The 26565-nt window shown below is 34.5% G+C and overlaps 1 protein-coding gene across 23 annotated transcripts in view; it reads right to left on the reverse strand.

Moving 5' to 3' along the window:
• IMMP2L (inner mitochondrial membrane peptidase subunit 2) overlaps positions 1–26565 on the reverse strand; it is an 899849-nt gene that overhangs the window by 290072 nt on the left and 583212 nt on the right. For 21 of the 23 annotated variants that reach the window (NM_001350963.2, NM_001244606.2, NM_001350961.2 and 18 more), the window contains one exon: positions 10785–10850. In NM_001350963.2, the coding sequence (NP_001337892.1) occupies positions 10785–10850 (66 nt within the window). Of the gene's footprint in view, positions 1–9592; positions 10376–10784; positions 10851–11733; positions 12137–26565 lie in introns of those variants that run through there. The other 2 variants (NM_001350962.2, XM_024446957.2) reach the window with 2 other exon arrangements.

The following is a 26565-nucleotide window of genomic DNA, read 5'->3' on the forward strand; positions in this document are numbered from 1 at the left end:
TCCTATTTAAGCTAAGTCAATGTGTTTCCCATCTTAGGTACCTCAGTTATTTTAGCCCATGGACTACCTAGAGAGGACATGATGGTTCTAATATTTCATTTTAGATATAGTGAGTTTAATATAAAAAATATTGAATAATGAGGACACTATTCAATATTCATTCTCCTTCCCTTACTTTTCTGTACATTTGTCTAGATCACATATCATTGCTACCCAATAATATAGTCATGATATCTTGGTGTATGCTACTGCTAGTACGATTCCAAGACTTACTAAGCAGGCAATTCTGGAATTGTCATGTCTTCCAATACCTACCTAGCAAAGGTATGCTAGTGTAACAGATATGGGGAACTCCCCACAGATAAACATCTGATTCCTTAGAAATATATTTCAAGTGCATATTTTCATTTTGGAATATTCAAGATAAAATCTGGTATAAAATCAACATTTTTCTAATCTTTTTTTATATACTTTAAGTTCTGGGGTACATGTGCTGAATGGGCAGTTTTGTTACATAGGTATATACATGCCATGGTGGTTTGCTGCAACCATCAGCCCATCACCTACATTAGTTATTTCTCCTAGTGCTGTCCCTCTCCTTGTCCCCCACCCCCCGACAGGCCCCAGTGTGTGATGTTCCCCTCCCCTGTATCCATGTGTTCTCATTGTTCAGCCACCACTTAATGAGTGAGAACATGCGGTGTTTGGTTTTCGGTTCTTGTGTTAGTTTGCTGAGAATGATGGTTTCCAGCTTCATCCATGTCCCTGCAAAGGACATGAACTCATCCTTTTTTATGGCTGCATAGCATTCCATGGTGTATATGTGCCACATTTTCTTAATTCAGTCTATCATTGATGGGCATTTAGGTTGGTTCCAAGTCTTTGCTATTGTAAATAGTGCCACAATAAACATATATGTGCATGTGTCTTTACAGTAGAATGATCCATAATCCTTTGGGTATATACCCAGGAATGGGATTGCGGGTCAAATAGTATTTCTGGTTCTAGATCCTTCAGGAATCGCCACACTGTCTACCACAATGGTTGAACTAATTTACACTCCCACCAACAGTGTAAAAGCATTTCTATTTCTCCACATCCTCTCCAGCATCTGTTGTTTCCTGACTTTTTAATGATCGCCATTCTAAGTGACGTGAGATGGTATCTCATTGTGGTTTTTACTTGCATTTCTCTGATGACCAGTGATGATGAGCTTTTTTCACATGTTTGTTGGCTGCATAAATGTCTTCTTTTGAGAAGTGTCTGTTCATATCCTTCGCCCACTTTTTGATGGTGTTGTTTGCCTAATCTTTTCAGTGTGACATAGACTAGAAGAATATATACCAGACATATGTCTGGAGGTGTGATTAGCGAGAGAGAAATGAGACCTTTTCTTTTTATGTTTTATGCTTTAGTGTTGTTTGAATTTTCCCTACTAAGCACACATTATTTTTGCAATTAAGAAGGAGGCTACAGATCTCCTTCTCATCTGAAACTCCTACACAAAATTTGTCTCCAACACAGCTGGGCCACTCAGGCCCACCAGATGTTCCTGCTAAGCTCCAGGGGTTTTAGTGCATCTTCATAGTGGCAATTCTCTTGTTATATTCCTTTTCTTTTGTTGCCTTTGTTGTCTTTCCACCAGACTATAAACTTTAAAAGGGCAAGAATTAATCTTTGGCTTTTAATATTTATAATCCCAGAGACAGGAACAGTGTTTAACACACAGGAAATATTCAAGGCACTCAATAAATCATGATTAAATCACAACAAAAACTATCACTATCTGATACTTACTGAACACATTTAAGAGCCAGGCACTGTGTTAACCAAATTATATCCATTATTTCATATAATTCTCAAGAAAGCACCGTGGAGTATACACTATTACAATTTCCATTTTATTGATGAGGAAGATTTAATTTACAGAGTTAAGTAATTTGCCAAAGTGGCAAAGCTGGGATCTGAACCAAGGCAGTTTGAGTTCATAGTTTGTGCTCATGGCTTCTACATCACACCAAATAAATAACTAGGCACAAATAAATAAACATGCAAGATTTTCATAGCTAAAGATGAACTCTATTCACGAGAGATAGGTGGACTAAGGTAGAAAATAAAACCATTCAAGGAAACCACTGACAGGGGTGGGGAGAGTATCACAAAAATAGGTGTCACCATTATTGGAAAAAGCAATTCAATCTAAATGGCCTAATGACTTTCTACAGCTGTCACACATGAAAGCGTATGCCCTATGTTTGATGTATTGCCTCCAGAAACCTCCCTATACTGCTAAACTGTTTACACAAATAATGCGTTTTTTAATCGACATTTTTCACATTTATTAATCTTGATATAAAATCAAGATTCTATATATAATCTTAAATATATGTAAAGAGACTATATATGAACTTAAGGTGACTATCTCTCTGGTGATTAGAAACAAATACCTATTGCTAAGACATACAGTTTTTATTAACAATTCCATTTTTATTCACTGATACAGCAATAGTATGGAAAATAATCCACCTACAACTTTAGAAAAGAAAGAAATATTTCCATAAAGGTATAGGTTGTCTACTAATCTATGATTCTTCAGTAAGGAAAAATTATAATTCTTTAACAAGAAAAAGGTAAGAATATCCATAATACACTAATAATTTCTAGAGGTAACATCAGAGGGATACTGATGATTTTTCACAAATGGCTCTTATTTGGTGACAACTAAACCCTTGTACAGAGCCTAAGACATTTAATTGTACTGCTCAATCCCTTGTCTATTAAACAGCAGCATCGGTCAGACCCCAAGCAGTAAAGACAGGTGTACAATACTATTTTAATTTGGGAAAATTCAGTGTTCAAATTAAACCAGGCTAAAGGGCTTCAAAGATTTCTGAACACCTTCTGCTCAAGCTACCAACAACTCAGAAACAGTGTACAAATACCCTCTGTCCTCAAAAGAACCACCTACTGGACTCCCATTTGAGAACTATAAAATAAAACTCTTAGCTGCCATGCTCTAAAACATTTTACTCATCAAATATTTAACAGGGTCCTGGACATGAGTTTCTTTTCATATCTCCCTCCTTTCAGGACAGAAACCATCTCTAATTATTAATCTACCAAAAAATGACATAAATGAATGCATGATCTTCAAGAAGAAGAGAGCCATATGGATACATTGGCTTCTATTATTCAGAGCTACTGCACCAATCATTAAAAAAAAAGAATTTATTAAACAAGCATCATTTGTAGTTTTACTGGGGAAAACTCAATTTAGTTCTGTTTTTCTTCCTATAAAGATTCATCGTTTGCTGGAACCTAATATGATTCAACCAGCTATGATAGGCTAATATTGATTTCCACATCTTCAATAGTACATTTAAAATCAACAGGCTTTGAAATGTTCAATTTCTAGTGACAAATGGATTTTTTTGCTAATACCAGAAAGTTGTTTTTAATAAATTAGGGTATTTTGACATTTTACAATATAGTCCTTAGACTCAAAGACAAATTGTCATTTAAATATTTTGCAGTGAGAGAAGACTCATGATTCTCTATTTCCGATTAGTCTGCAATATCAATACTAGTTAAAGAAAGCCTTGTGCTGTACTCACCAGCACAAAATGACTGCGTCATGAGCAGTACACACTTCTTGACAACAGCATCGATCCTCCCCTGCCTGATTCCTCCCTGGAGCCAAGAAGTGATTCTGTTTTCTCTGAATACTTCTTGGAATTCTCCTGAACAGTCAGGCCCATGAACTAAACAAAATCCAATTATGTGAAGTGATTTATAAAGCAGATTACATTTCTTTAGTAGGGCAACCATTTGTTTCTGCTTGTTTTGGCAGTCCCAGTTTACATTAACTCCCTCATGTAACAGTAAATTCATCTTTTTTCACTCTCAAAGTGTCCTAGTTTAGATGATAAGTTATATGGTCATCTTCTTCACTAGGGACTAAAAAGAGTCCATTCCCTTACTTCATTGAGGTTGCTAACCACATGGAGCCCGAGATTCCAAAATTCTATAAAATGGTATTTCACCAAGACAGAGGAAAAATGATGCTGGACTTCATTTCTGACTGGGCAGAGAAGATCTATGAAACAGAAATACAAGTGTCCCAATAAAAATGTTGATGCCTTAACAATTTCATTTGTGGTTGCCTCACATTGACTTGCTGGAGTTTAGTGCTTTGCATTCATTTTATGGTTTTCTAAAACAATGCTTCTATTTGAGTCATAACAAATTAATAAGAAAAAGCAATTAACTAAAAATAATATTTCGGTGGAACTAATGGGTCTAAGTATTAGTAGAATCAGCTTATTTTTACTGTTTGATGTTATAGATAAGCATACCCATTTGGGTCCACATTATGAAAATGACTGCATTCCTAGCTATGAGATCCAGAGAATCAAGCAATTGCCTTGTGATTTTAATCAATGCTGACATCAAGGTAGAAATTTCAGGCCCTCCCCAGTCTCATCTTTTACAACATTTATTTGTAAATTCAGCTGAATTCTCTGAAAAAGTACTCTGAAAGCCTACTTTTTGCCTTGTCAATATAATCTAAATGACTGTGACTATAAATAACGTAACGTAATACAAATAATGTAACTATTTTTATCTGAGTCATTTAAAATAACAAATAAAACTATCATGCATGTCATAAACAAGGACACAACTATTTCTACAAGAAGCTAGATATTATTTTCTCAAGAGAAAAACACTTTGACCAGTGATTTGAGTCAGATTATCCCCCTTTAGTCTATTCTCCAAGCAGCAGAAAGAGTGATTCTTTAAAAATGCCAATCAGATCATACTACTCCATGGCTCGCCATCCTTCTAAAATGAATCCAAAGTCCTTTCTAGGACCCACAAGGCTCTGAAAACCTCTCAGATCTAATCTTACTTCAGTTTCCCTCCTTCAGTAAAGTCCCAACCATGCTGGCTTCTTGTACTTCCTTGAACTCACCTATCCATTTTAGGTTTGCATTTGTTATTCCTTTGGTTTGAACTCTCCTTTCCTCAGAGATTAGTATGACTCTTTCCCTGTCTTCCTTAATTCATGAGTCTCTTCAAACATCTTTTTGTTACAGAAGTTTTCAGTGAACATCCTACAGCCCCAGACCCTTACCATTTCTCTCTACCCCCTTTTCTGCTTTGTTTTTCTTCATAGCACTTCTTACCCATGACATTGCATTATGTGTTATATATTTGTTTATTGTCTGCTTCTAACCACTAGAATGTAAGCATCATGAGGGCAGGAACACTGTCTCTTCTGTTCACTTACGTCTCTCCGGTATCTAGACCAGTGCTTTTTAAATGAATGGCACTAAGGTCTACACGGTCAGTGAACTGATTAAATGATATTTAACCTGATCACCCAAAAATTTGTGTTACAATGTTTTACCCTGTAAATCTAAAGTCCAAAATTTCCCCATTGCACATGAACTTTAAATCAATTTTCTCTAAAACAGTTTTTCATGCTGTGTTGATAAGAGTATAAACGTACACAAACCTCTTGAGAGGAAAATTTGGCAGTATATATTGGAACTAAAAATAACAACCACAATAACAACAATAACAAACTTGACCCAATATTTCCACTTTTAGCTATCTATTCTACAAAAATAAACACACAGGTGTACAAAGGTATGTGTGCAAGGATGTTCATTAAAGCATTTTGAGTTTTACAAGCTTGTGTTATTTCCATAATTTCAAACAAATCTTTAAAAGAAGTTGATTTTTCCCAGAGAGTAATGCCAAAGCAATTCTAAGGAGAGCAGATCACAGTTTTATTGAAATGTTTTTAAAGGTAATGCTGAGCAAAGTGACTGCTAATTGTAATGCCCCATTCTGGGATGTCTCATCTTATCTGTCATACCAACAAGCCCTTACCAACAGGTTCCTTATAAGTACAAGGTATGCAGCAGATGACTGGTCTATCTAGCCACAGCTGACAGGACCAGGGAAGGATGCCTACCCCAAAGGTAGTAGATCAGCTGGTTGACCAGCTGTCTGTCATGTGGATAGGTCCTAGATCTGTATCTCAAAGGGTGATACTCAGATTTCTCTCAGGTAATTCAGACATGAGGCACATCCAAGAAGTCAGCAGTTGGCAGTGGGGCAAAAGCCAATCAAAGCACAGATCGGCAAAAGCAATGTGCAAAAGAGAATGCAAGTGACAGAAAATGGAAGTCCTGCAACACTGTCATTCCCATTCTGCAGTAAAGCTAGGCTGAGCCTTGGCTCCTACTGCCCTACTTCCCCAGGTACCCTTAAGTGCTCTTTAAGCTATATTTCACTACATATCTGCTTTTGCCACCTAAAGGAGTGTAACTACCAGAACATTAAATGGAAGATTGGATTAATCCTTCAATTAATCCTTCAAGGGGTCTAACCTCAAATACTACTGAAACCTACAGTAAGTATAAATAAGTCCTAAAAAACAGGACTGTTTGCTTGATCATTTTATGAAATATCAAATTCTTTCCAAGAAAATATTTTTGGTGACCTATATTTTAGTTTAGCTTACCTAATAATATCCAGTAATATCCAGAGGAAAGATGGGACTGAAAAATCCACAGCACAGACCAAAGCACCTTGCCTGTCACAAGTCAGGGGACCAGTAGACTAAGGGCTTCTAGTAGTTGACAGCATATTTTTATAATTTTTTAATATACTCTGGCATTTTAAAAAAATTGAGTCACAGAGAAAAGATGTACATGCATCAGTAAATAATATTCTATTCCCTACATACCCCTTAACATTTGACATTGTTAGCAAATCATTATCAGACTGTATGTGTTCAATTATTAATATAAAATCCAGGAAGCCAAGGATCTTCAGGTGCCAAAGTTTCAAAGGGAAAGAAGTTTTTAATTTTCTTTAAAAACATCAAATGCTGAAAAATGATTATTTTTGAATCAATTATCAAATAGTTTTAGAGGCCACACAGTTGGAAGGTCCTTTATTTACATTTTTCATTGCTACATGATAGAGGTGTACCAAAGGGGGACAGATAGACCCATATGACCCTGGTGTCAATTCGCAGACTTTACACATGGGGTGCAGCAGTGGAAAGAGAGGAGGCAGACCTTTTACATCATCCAACTCCTGTTCCCTCAACTCCCAACTTTGCATCATTAACCCTTGCTCTGGCTCTGTTTCTGCTGTAAACCCAATATTTACATGTGCTGAGGAAAGCAACAACTTGTACTTTTCCTCAGAAAGGTCTGTTGTAGGATTTCTGATTGCACAAAGCATTTTATGTCTGATCAAGCATTGCAGTTTCACATTGTTGACTGTTCAGCTAGTGACCAATAATGATCCATCTGAGTTAAAAGCTGTGTTATCTTTGGATTTATAATATAAAATGGATCCCTTGGTATTCCTAATCCTGTTAGATTGCTTTATGTAGATGAAATTTTTGCCTGCTTTGGTGCTGCATTCTTTTGGGTTTTAAAAATAGCTTTATTAAGATATAATTCATATAACAGAGAATTTATCCATTTAAAATGTACAACTCAATGTTTTTAGTACAGTATGTTCACAGAGTTGTGTAACCATCACCACAATATAATTTTAGGACATTTTCATACTCCCCCAACACAACAAAAACCTTATACTCATTAGCAGTAACTCTCATTTCCCTTCTTCCATACCTCTGGGAATCACTAATCTATTTCTGTTTCTAGGAATTCACCTATTCTGGACCTTTCATATAAATGGAATCATACATATGTGGTCTTCTGTGACTGGCTTTCTTCACCTAGGGTAATGTTTTCAAGGTTTGCTGACATTCTTTGAATGGGATTTGCATCGTATCTATATACTGTTTTGCAAATACTAAAAATGTATTTTGGATATTTGTGATATATATCAAATGGCTTTCTAAATGTACTGCTCTTCCCAGTTTCTGCCACAAAGCAAAAGGCTGGATAGGCTCTTGAAAAAAAAACAGTCACCAAGTTCTTCTAGTTTAGAATGTACATTCTATAAGAAATGATAGCTAAGTTATTTTATACTAATAGACTTACCCCTGACTAAATCATAGCATTATATATCCTCCCCTAAATGCTCACTCCATTAAAATAATCAAAATCAAAGAACCTCTTATAACTTAAAATATAAACAACCCAATACAAAATGTGCAAATGATCTGAACAGTTATCTCACCCAAAAAGAGATATGAATGGAAAGTATGCACATGGACAGATACTCAATATCACTAGCCTTCAGAGAAATGCAATTCAAAACCACAATGAGATTCTACTTCTCACCCACTAGGATGGCTATAATAAAAAATATTCACAATACCAAGTGCTGGCAAGGATGCAAAAAAAACTAGATTCCTTATGCATTGCTGGCAGAACATGAAATGATACAGCCACTTTCTAAAATAGTTTGGCAGTTTCTTACAAAGTTAAACATGAACCTACCATAACACTCAGCATCCCACAGATACAGTTGTCCCTCTGTATTTGTGGGAGATTCATTCCCACAAATATAGATACCAAAATCCCCCCACAGATACCAAAATCCACAGATGCTCAAGTTCTTTACATAAAATGATGTAGTATTTGCATATAACTATGCACATCCCCAATATCCTTTAAATTATCTCTAGGTTACTTATTCCTAATACAATATAAATGCTATGTAAATATTTGTTTTACTGCATTGTTTAGGGAATAATGACAAGAAAAAAGTCTGTGTTTTTTTTTTTTTTCAGTACAGACACAACTATCATTTGTTTTCTCTCTCTCTGAATATTTTCCACCTTCAGTTGGTTGAAATCAGGGATACAGAACCCATGGATACAGAGGGCCAACTGTATACCCGATAGAAATGAGAATATGTTTCCACCAAAAGACCCAGATGTTCATAGTATTTATACCAATACCTGTAGAATTACTCATAATATCCCCACACTGGAAACAATCCTAATATGCATCAAGTTGTGAATGGATAAACAAAATGTGATAAGTCTATAAAATAGATTATACTCAGGAATAAAAATAAACTAATAACATGCACAATATAGAGAAACCTAAAAAACACTGTTAGCAACAGCAACAAAAAAACACAGACATCAAAGACTATATATTGTATAATTCCATTTAAATAAAATTTCTGGAGAAGGCTAAACTCTAGAGACTGAAAGCAGACCTGTGGCTGTCTGGGGTTGGGAGTTAAAGTAGGAGTTTAATGCAAATGGACAAGAGAGAACTTTTGAAGGTAACAGGTAAGAGAAGTGTTCAAAAACTAGATTGTTGTGGGGGTTGCACAATTGTATACATTTATACTAAAACTCATTGAACTGTATATTTTAAATGGGTGAATTGTATGGTAAATAAATTATACCTCAATAAATTTTTAAAAGACCTTCACTGATATCATGTAGGCTACTAATGAGCACTCAATCCTGACATGAAAATTGTTGCTACGAATTTCTACAGCAATAAGTTCTCACATTATTTGGTATCAGGACTCCTTCACATTTTACAAAATAATTGAGGATCTCAAAAAACTTTTATTTATGTGGCCACTATTTACCAGTAATTATCACATTAGAAATTAAAATAGAAAATTGTTTTAAAATTTCATTTATTGATTCAATTTAAAATACCAATAATAAACCCTTATGTTAACAAAAAGAATACGATTTAAATAAAAATTATAGTCCTTTTCCAAAAGCAAACAATAAATAGTAAAAATAATGATTTTTTTTTTTTACATTTTTGCAAATCTTTTTAGTTTCTGGCTTAATAGAAAACAGCTGGATTCTCATATCTGCTCCTGCATTCAATCAACTCCAATATTACATATCTGGAAAATTCCACTGTACACTCACAAGAGAATGAGAGTGAAAAACGGCAAGTAACACTTTAGTATTATTAGGAAAGTAGTTTTAATCTCATAGGCCCCCAGTGGGGATCCCCTGGGATCCTCTGGCCATGCTGTGAGAACTGCTAGCCTAGAATCTGCTCTAAAACTGACTGAGGTTCATTTCAGTGAGATTAGTTAATATGTGTACTATCATTAATACAAATACTTTAGGATCAAGTTTTTTTAGAAAACAGGGTCAGAAAACTTCCTCAATGTAGTAGTCAAAGCATTTTGGCTACCACATTGTATAGGCCTGGCTACAACTTGTTTAAAGAAAGCGATCACAATGAGACACATCATGCCACACAGTATTTACTTGCTGAATGTCAACAATTGTTCTTGATTTATCAGCAAGTACAATAAATACGACATTACTAAAGGCTGCTTAAACACCTGATTGTTACAATCTTATCATCTAAAGCTTTCATTCTTGTCACTGATTCGGAAGTTTCTGTTTCATATCCTTTTCAGTTTTCTCCCATCTCTATGAGTACAAAAGAGTCCTCTTAGTTTCTGCATTTGCTTCTAAAATAGTTAAATGTTCTTGAATTTTTTTAAATGAACCTTAACATCATAATCTTAATCTTAAAATAGTCATGCTACTTTTAATATCTGATCAATAATGATTTAATGATCATTTTAGACTATATGGTTAATTTAAATTAATATTTATCCTATACTTCACAATTAAAGAATAACAATATGATCAGTAAGTTTATCTATATTCCTTACAACCTGAAAGGTTAATGATGCTCACTAAAGATGTACCAGCTCATTTGGAATGTCTCCAAAACTTTGGCCCTCATGGACTTCAGATGTATTTCCCAAGTAATGTAGGTAACAGAACTCTAGATATTTAAAACTTGAACTCAGAAACAACAGTAAATACTTACCTGACAATATCTCCTTCAAGAGCAATCACTCTCTTAATGATCTTCTGTTCTGGGTTTTTAGGAGACCTAGAACAAGAAGATAACATTATACAATCAGTTATGTCTATGTTGTTTTAGGAAGATGAAAAGAAATTCTATAACAAAATAGGCTATATTAAAGTCTTTACAGATTCCTTTGCACCCCATGACATGACATCAGTCTCACTTCGGTTCCAAGTGACATGAAGTGACTACTGAAGTAATTCTCATTTTAAATAAACTCTGGGGGGGAAAAAAGCCATGTTAAAACTTTACAAAAATAAAAAATACAGAGGAATAAAACATTTTCTTATTAAGGAATAAAGTTTATTATTAAATTATTATTGTTGTTAAAGATAGGTTCTGATATGGTTTGGCTCTGTGTCCCCACCCAAGTCTAATTTCGAATTGTAATCCCCATGTGTAGAGGGAGGGGACCTGGTGGGAGGTGACTGGATTATGGGGTTGGATTCCCTCATGTTGTTCTCCCTCATGTTGTTCTCACGAGATTTTATGATTTAAGAGTGTGGCACTTCCCCTTCGCTTGCTTGCTCTCTCTCCTGCCGCCATGAGAAGATGTGCCTCACTTCCCCGTATCCTTCTGCTACGATTGCAAGTTTCCTGAGAACTTCACAGCCATGTGGAACTGAGTCAATTAAACCTCTTTTCTTTATAAACTATCCAGTCTCAGGTAGTATCTTTATAGCAGTGTGAGAACTAACACAAGTACTTAGAGGAAAGAGGATTAGTACATAAGAAAATGCTTACACATTTCTTTAAAATGATAACATACTTCAGTTTTTTAAAATTTCATTTAAAATTAAGAAAGGAGTTTTTATTTAAATCCCATAAAAACAATGAAGATGCGAAGCATTTCCTTTAAAAAATAAAGAATTAGAGAATTCTTTGAAACTACATTTGGGTTTAGCCATTTGATGATTATAGAATTCAGAGCGCTAAAACAGGGCTACTGACAGTTAAAATAAATTGACAGGTTTTGATATACTTAATACAGACATCATTTATTTCAAGCTACTTGATTATGGTAAATTTTAACTTAGAGTAATACTCTGTACTCTAAATAAATCTCTGCCTCTCCTGGTATGTATATCCTATGCAGTTCCTTTCCAGACTGTGATAGGATTCATCTGTGAGGTCAATAGTTTATGGTAAAACTGATGGTGCATCACTTTTGAGATTATGTTATAAAACAGACTTACAGGCTCTCCCTCTTTCTCTCCTTCTCTCTCTCCCCTCCTTCCTTCCTCTTTCTATTTTTTCCTCCAACATCTCTTTCATGGATCACTCTAGAAGTCTGGTCTGTCCTGAGCAGCCTAAGGAGAGACTCGTGGTGAAGAAGGAAGGTCGGCTAACAGTCACATTAGTGAGCTTCAAAGCACGTACTTAGTCAAGTCTTCAGAGACTGTGGCTCTGGTCAACAGTTTGACTGCAAATTCGTGAGAGACCTTGAGTCAGAACCACACAGCTAAGATGCTTCTGGTTTCCTCACCCTCAGAAAATATGTGAGATAATAAACGTTTGTTGTTTTAAGATGCTAGACATTGGGGTAATTTGTCATGTAGCAATGGGTAACTCTATCTTAATATGGTCAATTTCCTGCCAATAACATTTTAAGTCTTTTGATTTAACAGACGCATTTCAAGAAACATCTCATGCATCACACAAATGATCATTTAATATGTATTTCAAAATCATGCATAGATAAAAATATTTTAAATTCAAGTCACATTTTGAATTGAAGTACTTTTTAAAAGGAATGTAAATGTGCAAAAACTGAAAAGATCAAATATATTCAAACTGTACATTTCATCAAAGGAAATGTGCACTTTCAATAAGATTTATATTTCACAATATGTCTTGCAGAGAAAATGAAATCACGTAAGCTAGTTGCATTTATTTGTAACAATTAGTTTCACAGTTTTTCACTAAGTTAACTTTTTTATTTTAAAATGAAATTTGATCAGAGTTTTGATTGGCCTCATCCCTTTATTAAATCAAGTAAATATTATATTTCTATAACTTTAATGTCATTAATGTACAGCTGAAGTGAGGGGTATGGGCATATTCAAGCTAATGAAATTAAGATACTCTCTGCAGGGTTACTTATAGACCTTTTAGAAAAGTGCCCCTCCCATGTCTCCTATTTTAAAAACTAGGAAAGTATAAAATATTATTCAGCCTCAGTGGTCATCAAATAATTGCATATCAAAATAATGGATATTAAAACACTTTCTTACTATATTGACAAAGATGTACTACTAATAATAAAAATAAATTGCTGTTGAGGGATTAGGGACATTGGTACTCTCTATATAAACTGTTTGGTCATGTAACATGCCTTTCTATAACACAATATCAAGATTTTATATTCTTTTAAACATAATAATCATACTTCCAGAAATGTATCCTAATGAGATGATTACGAATGTATGCCAAATTTTGGCCACATGGATAGTTAAAGCATTACTGTCTATTTTAAAAAAGAAAAAAATTCAACAAGAGCAGACAGGTTAAATAAACCATAGTCCCACTCACATGATAAAATACAGTCATTAAAAATGATGTTATAGAAGAATATTTAGTGATATGGAAATATCAACAGAATGTATGGATTGAAACCGTATGTTAGAAAATATTATTTGTGGCATGACTTCACATCTGTAATAGCAGAGAGAGAAATGTGCATCCATTTTTACTGGGAACTAAGCAAGAAGATTCTAAAACAAAAGGAAAAGGAAAAGTTCTGTGTGGATAAAAGCTTTCATGCCCAGATTTTTGGTCCACATTATTGGGATATCCTTTAGCGGATGACAACTATTTGTGTTATATGACATTACCCAAGAAGACATGCTCCAAGATAGAGGTAAGACCTGAATTAATTATCAAGTTTACTGCCTAATATTGAGGTGAGATTAACATTAATGAAATAATATAAAAAGCAACACCTATCAGTGTAAAAAATATTTTATGCCAACAATGTTTAAGCTTTTGAGATTCTTAAAAGGTATTCTATATTTTAAAATAATCTATATTTTAAGATCCTGAGGCAAAATAGAGTATGCAAAGGGAGCTATCTATATAATTAAAGTTTTACAAATTACTACTTCAAATATATCTTTAAATTTTAATGTAATATTAAACTCATGAATCTAATCAAATAATTTCAGAATGAAAAAAGCTATTACTAACATTAATTCCATTACTGCTCAAAATCTATATCTATATTTTAATCATTAGGCTGTTGAATGCATTACTTTGATCTCAGCAGAAGTGCTCAGAGAGTTATACAGATTTACATCATGAAACTTATTAAACTTCTCTTCGTCTTAATTTTCTTGGCCACTTTCCTATCTCCTAGAAAATGTGAAGAATAACAAGTGAAGGATTATGTTTTACTTGAGGAATACAATGGATGTTCCCCAATAAATACTAAAATTTACATTTAAATTTGTAAGTTTAGTGTTTTCATAATAAGTAATGTTTTACAATATTTGTTTCTGGGATGTGGATTTTAAACATTCTGTTTTATGCTTATGATTTAATTTGGCAAGATTTCTCCAGAGACTTGGATGAGGAGCCTAGAATTGTTTCTTTACTGCATGAGTCTTAGCAGCTCTGTGTGGTATGGCAGAGAATGTCTGTAACCAGAATGGTTGCAGGCCAAGGAGTGGGGTCTAATGTAGACATAATAGAATTTCCAGTCTCTGTCACTAATTTCATGTTTTTTTATGTTCCCAAAAAGTTATAATTTTCACCCTGTTGGGAGCACTTGAAAGCTACTTTGGCATACTCAAGAGACCCCTCTAGTATTGTGGGGATGGAGAGATTAGCATATGTCCCACCTTCTCTTTTCCTGACCACCCCCACCCTGATCCTGGTGTCACATAAATAACTTAACCCTAGGTCTAAGCATTCTCTTCTCCCATTTATGATAAAATTTTAAAACTTCCCTCTGTGACTTGGGTAGATTTTTATATTCATATGGTTCAGAATTGGCCCAGATTATCACAGAATTAAAGTAACCTTAGCCACAGTCTAATGTAATCACTGAACCTTTAAAAATACTACCATGTATTGGACACTATTTACATTGCATATATCCCAAGAGGCCTAAATCTAATGCTTTATTATTGAGGTGAAAGGAAAAACGAATATTCTGGGGATGGCTTCTATTACAAGAGAATGTTTTTCACTATCCTAAAGGATAAAGCATGCATTAAGCCATATAACTTTACATCATTATAATTTTAAAAATATATGTTTTTCTATTCTTTTATCATGAAAGTAGAACGAAAAGTCCACTCAACACAATGATAAAAAGTATTATCAAATGATAGCTTATCACCTCCTTTCCCTGTCAAATTTGAAAAAATGTTGCCAGAGTTTAGCATGGTTTTCACAATGGCTAGAGCTAAAAGGCTTTGGAGTATATCTGGCTCTTCCTCTGCTTCTTTTAATATTGCCCATTCTCTATTACCCAAATTTTCCACTTGGTGACCATGTGATGGTCCTCTTGTGCCCTGCAAATCCATGGACTGGAGAGAAATGGAAATAGAGTCTTGCTGTTACTATTCCTCTCTGCTGTAAGTGAGCTGCTCCCTGTAGGCAAGCTACATAACCTATCTGGGACTCATTTTCAGGAAGGTAAGATTAGATCAGAAATCCTAAACCAGTGGCCAGACCATCAAATCTGGCTTACAGGAATATTTTGTTTGATTCATGCATTAAAAAAAAAAAAAATTTGGAGCTAGCTAAGCAAATAGGAGACGTCATATAAATTTATTTCTCTTGAAAAAACAGGTAGATCTGGCAACCCTAGTAGCACATTCTTGCATGAGAAAAGTCCACTGGAGGCTGGGTGCAGTGGCACATGCCTGTAATCCCAGCAGTTTGGAAGTATGAGGAGGATGGATGGCTTGAGCCCAGAAGTTCGAGACCAGCCTTGGGCAACATGGTGAAACCCCGTCTCTACAAAAAATACAAAATTAGCCAGGCATGCTGACATGTGCCTGTAGTCCCAGTTACTCAGGAGGCTGAGTTAGGTGGATTGCTTGAGCCAAGGAAGTAGAGGCTGCAGTGAGCAATGTTGACGCCAATGCACTCCAGCTTGGGCAACAGAGTGAGACCTTGTCTCAAAAAAAAGTCCATTAGAATTGAGAAGCAGACGATTTGCCACAGTCCCGCCAGCTTGTTTCACAAATGTGTAGTACCTGAGGGCATATGAGTCTAGAAATCTTGAAAAATGTTCCTACCTAGAGCATCATGTAACTAGTGAGAGAAAACGCATAAAAGGTCTAGCAGGAATTCTATCACATCGTAGGTACTCAGTAAATTTTAGACACCCCTTTCTATAATAAATTCATAAAGGAGATCAATTAACTGGGCCTAAGACAAGAGTTACAATCCTTTTTTAAGACTTACATGGATAGACTATATTTAAGCCCTCTAATAAAAGAATTTTCAGGTTCTCTTTCATGGGAGAACAAGAAAAGCATTGTAAAGGTTTGGTCAACTTTTATTACACAATTAGCTAAAGAAACAGCAAAACTAAATATAACTGAATCCATATTGAAAAGCACAGGTTTATTTTAAATTAGATAGGTATTATCTGTAAAATCAAGATAAAAACGAATAATTTTTAGTTTTGGATTCTGTACACTTGCTTCACTATCAGTAGTGTGAACTTTGTACATACTGCCTCATTTTTAATGATTCATTTATAAAATTCAATACCGTTTCATTAATTAGCACTCTCAAAATTTTTATGTAGGTCAGTAGTATTTCAGCTACCTTTTTCCCCTTGCATCATGTAAATCTTTCAAAATTAAACAAAATAAACTATAGACTTTAGTTGTTTTTGGGGTTCATTCATAAAATCCTCTCAAGCACGGAGCTTTGTAGTTTCAGAAAATGATATATGTATATACAATGCCTAACAATCACTTTTGTCCTGATATCCCCGAGAATGCTCCCAACCAAGAGCCTCATTACTGGCAAAATGACGTACAGATGAAGTGGCAAGAACCCATGTTAATGTTTCAAATTTGTCTTATTTTCTAGAAGGGGAAGGAAAGATCATGGGAAAGGAAACCTCAGGCAGGGGCTGAAGATTTTTAAGTGTATAGAAAACTTTAATGAAAATAGAGTCAAATTTCAAGCAATGTGACTTACACAGTCTCATTTTGTGGGGTGGGGATGGAATAAGAAAGGTATGGTTTATCTACATTGGCCATTCTCTCAGAGCATACCCTACCTGAATCAGGCTACTAAGCAGAAATAGAATCTTTCAGGACACTGGAGAGATTCCAGTCAGGTTTCTAGAGACCTAAGAAGGCAGCAGCAGAAATATCACCTTTATGTTTCAGATTTATCTTCTACAATTCCTTACACAGGAAAATGTATTTTAACAGTACTGATGAAACAACAACAGAATGAACTTTAAAGAACTGAACTGTTGTTTATTGATAAAAAGTGTTCTTGGTTAAATGTTGGAGTTATTTCACTTTCACCAAATGTGATTAGGAAAAATTTAATAAGCAAATAGTGACAACTGGTCTTATTAGTGAATCAGCCTGGATTATGTAAAATCAATTAAATTTGTATTTATGACTCTAACTTCTATAATTGAAAAGAGCTGTGTAATTGAGTATTTTTGATCCTGAAAAACAAATGTCTTCATTTAACTATGAAAAACTTAAGGAATTTAGTATAATCATAACAATAAATTAATTTCCAACAGTTTGTTAACTCAAGCATTTCAAAACACAGAATAGTGCAATCTTCAAGTATTTAATATAATTACAATTTACCTCACCATCTAGAATAATTTGTATGTAAATGAATATATACAGCACAGAAACAATATACAGCACATATGTAAAATGTGTGTGTGTGTGCACATGTATTCTACCACGTAACATGGAGTTATGGCTTTTAAAGGAACTTTAAAAAGGATCTATAAAGAAACTTCTGGTTGTGAAAATCATATTCCCTAATTTATTTTGTAAAACTTGATTTTAATATATTGAATATGCTTAAAGTTGAACATATCTGTGGAAATGAAGGACGTGAATGCTAACATAAATTTACATACTGACTACTCTTTCAATACAGATTCCCAAGTGCAGACCTTCATATAGAAGCACCACCGCTCTGTTCCCAAAGATGGACATGCACTCGGAAGCATTCTTTCCCCTTAGTCAAGCTAGGTTTCAACCCCTCATCCAAACTACCTCACTGAGTATGGCTTTGCATGGAATACCACTTAACATCATGGAATAAAACAAAATTAACTGCTCTTCCAAGGAATAAATCCATCAATCTAGCCTCATAACCGTAACACTTCAGTTAAGCTAACCAGCTTTAGATATTTGGTTTCAGTCAGGTTGGGAAATAGTACCACATATTTTTGGTAGGTTTGAAGGATATTCATACCACAAAACACCCTGAAAGAGCAAGCTATTTGTATTTTCTATATCAAACCATATCCATTGCCATCTATATGGCACAGAGAAGGCAAACCAACTGAATTGCAGAATGAATACTAGTATACAAGAACTGAGGTTGGGACCTTTAAGTCAATGTCCATGCAAAATATTAGAAGTACCTGTAGCCACCTGGAGAATGTTATTGAAGAATGGCACAGCAGTCAGCTTGTGCCCAACACAGCTTACTCGCCAGTTTGCCATGATATCAGTGATATTGTAGGGTATGAGATGCCAAGCTTAGGGTAGAAAGCATCTTGGTAAAAGTGAAGAAAGTAAGCATAAGGCTAGTCTTGAGCATTTTACCTTCAGCATTTTATGGTTACCATATGATATTTTTTCAGGGTGAGGAAAGACACGGATGGGAACGGAGACACTTCAGTGGTTGCCAGCATTGGGGATTGTTAGTAAAGGAACCTTTACAACTGAGAATCAGACAGGCCAACATGCCATCCCATGGATGCCAGCAAGGAAAGGTGTCCATCAAGGTGCAGGGTCCCTCCCCTGATGCCGTCACACAATAAACTTCTGGAGCTTAGATGTTGTTCTGACAAGATAAAGAACTATAAACAGACTTAATTTGTTTTGAGTTGCCTCAGAAAGCTCTTACATTTATCCTGAATTGAAAAGCATTGTTTGCAATAGGACACTTAAGTCTTGCTTGCAATAGGACACTTAAAATCAGCAACAGCAAAATAAAGTTATATATTTTTGCATACCTGATATTTATGGCCTGAAAATTTGTATCCATTCCATTGTCTTTATTGCATATCTCTTTTGATTAATATGCTTTCTAGTGACAATCGAGATATGCATTATTAATGTTTAAACTGTGCTACTGGATTCAAAATTTCCTAGTAAAACTGAGTTAGGTGTATGTGTGGGGAGAGGTGAGATGCCACATAATCAATGATACTATTGTAATTTCTCAAAAATGCTCACTCTCCTGGAGAATGCTGACAGTGTGGAGGTTAGAACATAAGTAGAATATGAAGTATCCTGACACATTTCTGTTCCAACCCTAATGCTATTGTTTTGCAAAAGAGCTCTCAGGCACCAGTAACTACACACAATTTACTCCTTTGAAAAGGTCAACTTTATGCCCCCAATTGTAGACTGGAATAGTATTAGCAAATTGTTTCCAGAAAAAAAAAAAATACATGATGCTTGGGATTTTAAAAAATCAACTCAACTGATCACCTCTAAAAACAGCATTACCATTTATTTGCTCAGCTTGACAGCCACTCATTCAGCTAGCTCCAGTTGCTACATTATCAGAAAGTTTTTCTATATATTTAATTTTCTGCTATTTATATTGCAATAACTTGTACTATGATAGTTTGTCAATGCTTTAACCTAAATAATACTAAAATTAAATTAAATATCTCCTATTCTTAATGTTATGCATATGTTTCTAAGTCTTCCAGTATTACCTTTTTCCTTTCTGCTGGATAAACTACATGGAGCTATAGAGAGGGGGGAAAGAGCTAGAGAAGAGGTTAATTTGGAAAGGATTTTTGGCAGCTGAGAATAAATATCTTTTGGAGAATGGAGGTAAGTTAAGAATGGCAAAATTTAGGTCAGGGGTTAAAAAAGACTGTGAAAGATCATAAGGGAACTTTGGCAACAACAGAAGAAAAACAGGGGAGATTTACTTCCAAGGACGAACAGAAGTTATCTCACTAGGGTAAACCAAGCCAGAGAGGTACAGAGCAGTGAGTAGACAGAAAAACACAGCCAGGTGACTAAGAAGAGAGAGTGCTGCCTATGGATTCCACAAAGAGAACACAGAAGCACTGACTTGGAGAAGACAGATCTTCAAAGTTGCTATGTTAGGGTTCTACTCATTTAACAGGCACCTCAGAATGAGGGAAAGTTTGGTTATCATGCTGTTACTCACTCTTCCTATGTTTGTCCTTTCCCTTATTAGGTTAGCCTGAAAAACTTCTATTGTTTGTAAGAAAATGCAGAGGTCAAAATATTCCCAGTCAATAGAATAGAATGATGGTTGCCAGAGATTGTTGGTGGAGGTTGGGGGCAGAAATGGGGAGTGGCTGGTCAAAGGGTAGATCTATTGTACAGTGTGGTGACTCTAGTCAATAATAATGTATTATATACCTGAAAATTGCTAAGAAAGTAGATCTTCAATGTTCTCACCATATACACACAAAAAGATAAATATATGAGGAAATGGCTATGTTAGCTAGAGTTAATCATCTCACAATGTGTGCATATGTCAAATCATCACATTTTATACTGTAAAAACATATAATTTTTAGTTGTCGGTCATACCTTAATAAATCTGGGGAAAAATTCCTAGCTGCCAGTGTTCTACACATAGAACACCAAAGAAATCCCTTTCCAAAAATCACAACCATATCTCAACCTGTGATGCATCCTTTCAAGAAGCTAAAGATTCTGACCTGCTATTTTTAGTTGACTGTACACAGTCAGCAATAACTATAAAATTTATTGAGGCATGTGTTTTTCATAAAAACAGTGAGTATGTTGAGGCTATAATTTCTCCGAAGATTTACCTTTTTCTATTATTCTTTAGTACACACATCCTATAGCCACTTTTTTTCTAGTTCATAAAATCTTATTCCAAATAATTAGGTACCCATTTAAAATGGAAACAGACCATGTGTGCCCGCCCACAAGTGTTGTTCCTTGCAGGAAGCTGCTTTGATTCTAGGTTGAAAGACATTGATTAATGTGAGAAGGCTTGCCTGCTTTTCAGAGCATCGGTCCCCTAATTCTGTACACATACAAAATGGACTCTAATCTCTACAGCTGTCATGTTGATGCTCTTTGTGAGTTGTACATTTCACAGACTCTGAAACCATCATTCCATTGCTCAAACATGACCAACAACTTTCTTTAAAGAAAGAGTGGGAGATTATTAAGTCAAAATGGGGCCAAACCGTCATCTTCATGTGTGGACGAAATTTGCATGGGTCCTGATAGCTATGTGGTTCCCACAGCTGAAGCTTAATAAGTCTCTCCCAGACACAGGTATAAGAACCATTAATAGTCCTCAAATACCTCTACAATTGAGTAAAAATAAGGCCAAAAAGAATTAATGGAAATAATCTTTAACTGGTCTTAAATGCCTGTGGGTTAAATGTAAGAAGGAGGCTTTGATTTAAATAAAAGCAACTTCTCAGAAACATATGCTCACCACCCACCATTCTTCATCTGAATGGCAGAAACTTGGGGATTTCGTTTCACTCTAACATGGGAGCTTTGCCAAGAGACATGGGCACAAACATCAGTGATTAAGAAAGATCTCCAGTATGAAATATGTGGGATCTAATCCACATTAGAGTGGGTTTGTAGGCAATGGCACCATGCTTTGGAATGACCACATGGATAGATATTTTGATTTACATAACAGTGTTAAACTCTATTTAAAACTTTTAAATAGTCTAACCGTATTACCTAAAATAAAATGCCTTTCTGAAAAAGATATGAAATCAAGTAAATACTTCTCACAAAATCCTCTGATTCAGTTTCGTTTTAAAATATAGAGCCCCAAAGCCTTACTGATGCATACCATGTCTCTCCCACCCTTTATCAGTTCTTTCTCACCGCTGCCATCTGTTTGCCTTGCTTTTTCCAGCACAATGCCCATCCCTCCAGGCTGTTCACTGGCACTCAGATGTCTTCCTCTAATTCTTTACATCCCCATCCAAGAAATGTTCCAGGTCTTTTCCTATTCTTCCTCCCAAAGATTTTCTTCAGCACCACCCTCTGTGTATTTTGGACACTTATTTTCAGATATTATTTGTCAATTAGAAAATATGCAAGTTTGCTTTTGGCCCTCTATTTTAAACACAATTATTTACTGCTATCTTGTTTTGTGTTATACGTAGGAGAAAAATTTTGTAAACATCTCATCTTTTACAATTATAATTCCTTAAGTCCTTATAATTCCAGTCTTTAAAAATATAAATGCAATGTTCAGAGGAGTCCTATGATAAATATGTAGTTAATTCAAATGTTTCCTGGAGCATCTTATTTCATTTTTGTTAACTTTTAATATATACAAGCCTATCTATTCATAGTTACACTGATCTAATCACATGATCATTATCCTACTGTAGAATTCTTAGTTATAAGTTAAAAACAGATATATAACATGAGTTTAAAAAATAAAAGGAAAAGAAAGGAAAGTCAAAATTATAACTCTATAGAAATAAGAAGACAAAATGTATGGTAAATGACCATTTGAATCTCTTACAGTACCTTTCAAGCTGTATAACTACCCTTCTAAATTAATATCTCATTTGAAATAGTTCCCAAAAATCCAATCTAGTCACTTTCAAGTCAAAGACTCAGCTGTTTAGAATGCAGACTGTATCATGGCTGTGGCTATGTGTACTTGACCTCCTGCCTGTTAACAAAGAGACTCAATTAATTATTTGCTGTTTTGAATGGCTATTTCATTTCACCTCCACCTTTCTTTAAGTGCTGAAAAGCTCAATTGCTTTATTACCTTAACCTTAGCTTTGGAGAATGCATGCAGAATTTCTTAACTGCCAACTAATAAACTATCTTGATCCAGAAAGTTAATTTTCAGGACCACAGCTTCTAGATGTTTTAGTGCTAGAGACAGCTGAAGTAACATAATGACCTAGTGTCATATCACCTTCCAAGACAGTCTCTTTGTTCTGAATGGTGGCTTTGGTGCTAAGCTATTCCCTTCATATGAGTCAAGAGACACACTAGCACTGCAATGGGTTATAGTGTCATAGTAACAGTTTAGAAATCTTACCACACATAAAAAATGAATGTTTTCAGTATTAATTAAAAGTATGTAAACTAACAGTATATCAGTTTTTCCTGCTTACTTTTAGTCACATTAAACTCAGTAATATAATTTCATATTCAAATATTGGAACATTAAACTAGAAGTAGCAAACAGCTTTGAAATAAATGTGAAAATGGATTTTTTTTAACGTATGGGCACAGTAGAACTGATAGCAATGATTATCTAAATGTGAAAAATTAACCACAACACCAAAACAGAGTCTGAAATTCATCAAAGATTTTCTCATATCTTTTGAATTTCTTCAGCCCTGATAATATGTAACATTTTAAAAATTCTCATTTGCTACATATTTGCTTATCTATATATTAATTCTGATTCTATAAGTAGACCATAAGATGATATGAAGGTAGTGTTACCCTTCTCATTATATTCAGTCCCAAGTCAGTTACCTGCACTTATAAAAAAACAAGTATTTGATGATGATTAGATCATAATACATATACGAAGATATTGCTATTTAGTATTTCATAAAAGTGAAATAATACAATATTTGTCCTTTTGTGCCTGGCTTATTTCATTTAGCATAACGTCTTCAAGACTCACCCATGTTGTAGCATGTATCAAAGTTTCATTCCCCAGTTACCATTTTCATGATTTACACTAGTCATTATTTTATGAATATCCAAACTGATTTATCATTCCAGTATGAGTTTCTTATAATCTAATAAAAATGGCAACTGAGATTTTAAAAAATTTTATAACTCATTTCTTTTCAAGAATATTTATACAAACATGAAAATAAATGTGTCTATAGTCCTCAGATCTTAGTTTATAGATCAGTGGTCCTGAAACTAATTTAAAGTCTAGAAGGTTAGGCCCTGGAAATCTAGAATCTGAATTTGAACAAGCACCTAGGTGATTCTGATGCAGGAAGTCTAGTCCACCTTTGATAGGCACAGTTGGAAATGCTCACATGAAAATTCTATGAAATTGAACATACTGGCTCCCTACATGTTCAATAAAGACCCAGCCTTAAAGAAAAGCCATAATATATTTCTAAAATGACCATGACAATACTGATTTTAAAACATGTACAAAAATCTAAAATTTCCTATCAGGGAAAAAACTCAATATTCTAATTCCATATTTAATATAAACCTGGAATTGAATCTACAACTAGTATGAAGCATCATAACTCTAATAAGAAAGAGTAAGACATCCCATTTCCAAAGTTTTTTAAAGAATATAAAAACCTCCTCGGATCAGGCAAAATGACAGACAAACTGTGATTTTAACAGAAAGGCTGTGGTGTTAGGGTACAGAAGAATTTATTTCTTACGGTCATTAATTCATTCAGCAAATATATGCTGAATGACAAGCAGGTGCCAGGTACTCTGTATGGTACTAGCTTACAAAACACATCTTATTACAATCAATGGCATGCATGCTTTTTAGGGTTCAGGCCCAAATACTAGCTATATCACCTTGAGCAAGTCATTTAGCTATCTTAACATCTATTTTTTCATGAGTATAAAAGGATGACAGCAAATGTTACTGCTGATCCCCAAATATTACTGTAGAGGCCCCATGAACTACTAAACATAAGCGGCCGAGCATCTGCTTTAGATAGAATGAGTCTCAGAATGAGATAATAAATTATAATGGAGAGTTCCATGGGTCTAATTCCTACTTTAAGTAGGAAAGCAGCTATAATCTCAAACTAAAACCACAAAATGAACTTCTCGCTTCTAAGATGACTACATAACATTTCTGTGAAGTCTGTGTTGTGGTTTATTACACCCAGTTAGCAATTCTGCCACCAAATAGCAAGCTTGACTCTACTTTCAAATAAATGCCAAATGACTTCTCTCTTTCCTTCCCTCCCTCCCTCCTTTTCTTCCTTTCTCTCTCTCTCTCTTTTCCTCTTTCCCTTCTTTCCTTTCTTTTTCCTGCTACCTTTCTTCTTCCTTAGAACCTTCTTCATAAGACCTTTGAAATAATTAAAGATAGTACAGATAGATTAAGCCACTTTTAGGCCCAGTAATTTGACAATTTTTTGCATTAGTTTATGAGCTGTTAAATTCGTAGCTAAATGTATTCATACTGGGAAATTTAATTGCTCCAGTAAAATGCCGAAGTTCCGTAAACCAATTTTGTGTGGAAAGTAAAGGAAATCTAATTGTTTCATCTGTTGTGTATTTTAATTAATTGTTCCTCACGAAAAACTAGGTAACAAAATGAAAGCAATAATATTTTATTTAAAATGCCCAAGAAATTCAGCAAATAATTCATAGAACATCCTTGAAAGAAAGCACAATTTAAAAAGTCTGAGGCATAACAGGTATTCAGAATAAGCCACTAGAAAGTTGAAAAATAACAATATTAGTCCACTACTTAGTCTCATATTCACTGTTTCAATGTTTTCTTTTTAGGATGATGGACTGTGCCACTTGTTAGTATATTTGTAGGCTTTTATTCCAAGTACTTTAAAATACTCTGACTTAATTATGTTAATATTTTAAAAGAGTGAAACAATTTTGCCTATATTTTACAATAAGAAAGGTATGCCATAAACAAATGAATATTTCCCAAAAAGGCACAAATTGGATTGTTGGAACTGAGACCAGGACTATGATTGGGAATCTATCCATCTATTAATCACAAAAATACATTGTAATTCCTTGTGGTGCCCATTACTATTTGCAATGTGGTTTCACTTAAAAAAAAATCAATACAAAGAAACAGGTAAGTAACAGTAAAGAAAAATTGATGGTGACATTCTAAAATTATTTTCATTTTATAAAGGCTGTGTGTCCACAATAAATTCTAAAATGAGATAAAAAGATCAAACTATTAATTGCTTAAAAAAATCCTGTTTAAAATAAGTTTATCATCTACACTAAACATTCTGAATTTTTATCTGAGAAAGAAAAAAGTATTTAACCCCAGTTTGAATACATTGATGATTAACACAAAATCCCTATAGAACCTCCAGTTAATTTTCTAACCCTTTGATCTCTAAAATTCTTTCATAAACCTTTCAAAGTTGTATACCAAAAACACGAAGCCCTGTTTAATAAAAATGGAAAAAGCTACAATCCTGCTCAATTCAAATCATTTTGTTTTGTGTGACTTTTAAAACATTAGAAACATATAAATATACTTTTTAGTAATTCTTATTAGAAATTTATATTATTTATGGGATGGACTATATAGAAAATTAAGGAGTTTGAGGTCAATCATTAGCATTTTAAGGTTGACACTTGGTATTACAGTTAGAGATGATCATGATTTGGACCAACCATGTTCCAGTAAAGTGTTCTTCTTGAACTTCATATATTTTACATATAACTTTTCTGGAGTATATGTACAACATGAATATCCACATGAATTTATACAGTATATGCTAATTTTCTCTGGGGAAGAGTGTACTATGTTGTCTGGCTATCGCTACAAATTTGTCTGAAGACATTCCTAGTACTTT

This window comes from Homo sapiens, chromosome 7 (genome assembly GCF_000001405.40).
Source record: "Homo sapiens chromosome 7, GRCh38.p14 Primary Assembly".
In the NCBI taxonomy this organism is placed as follows: Eukaryota; Metazoa; Chordata; class Mammalia; order Primates; family Hominidae; genus Homo; species Homo sapiens.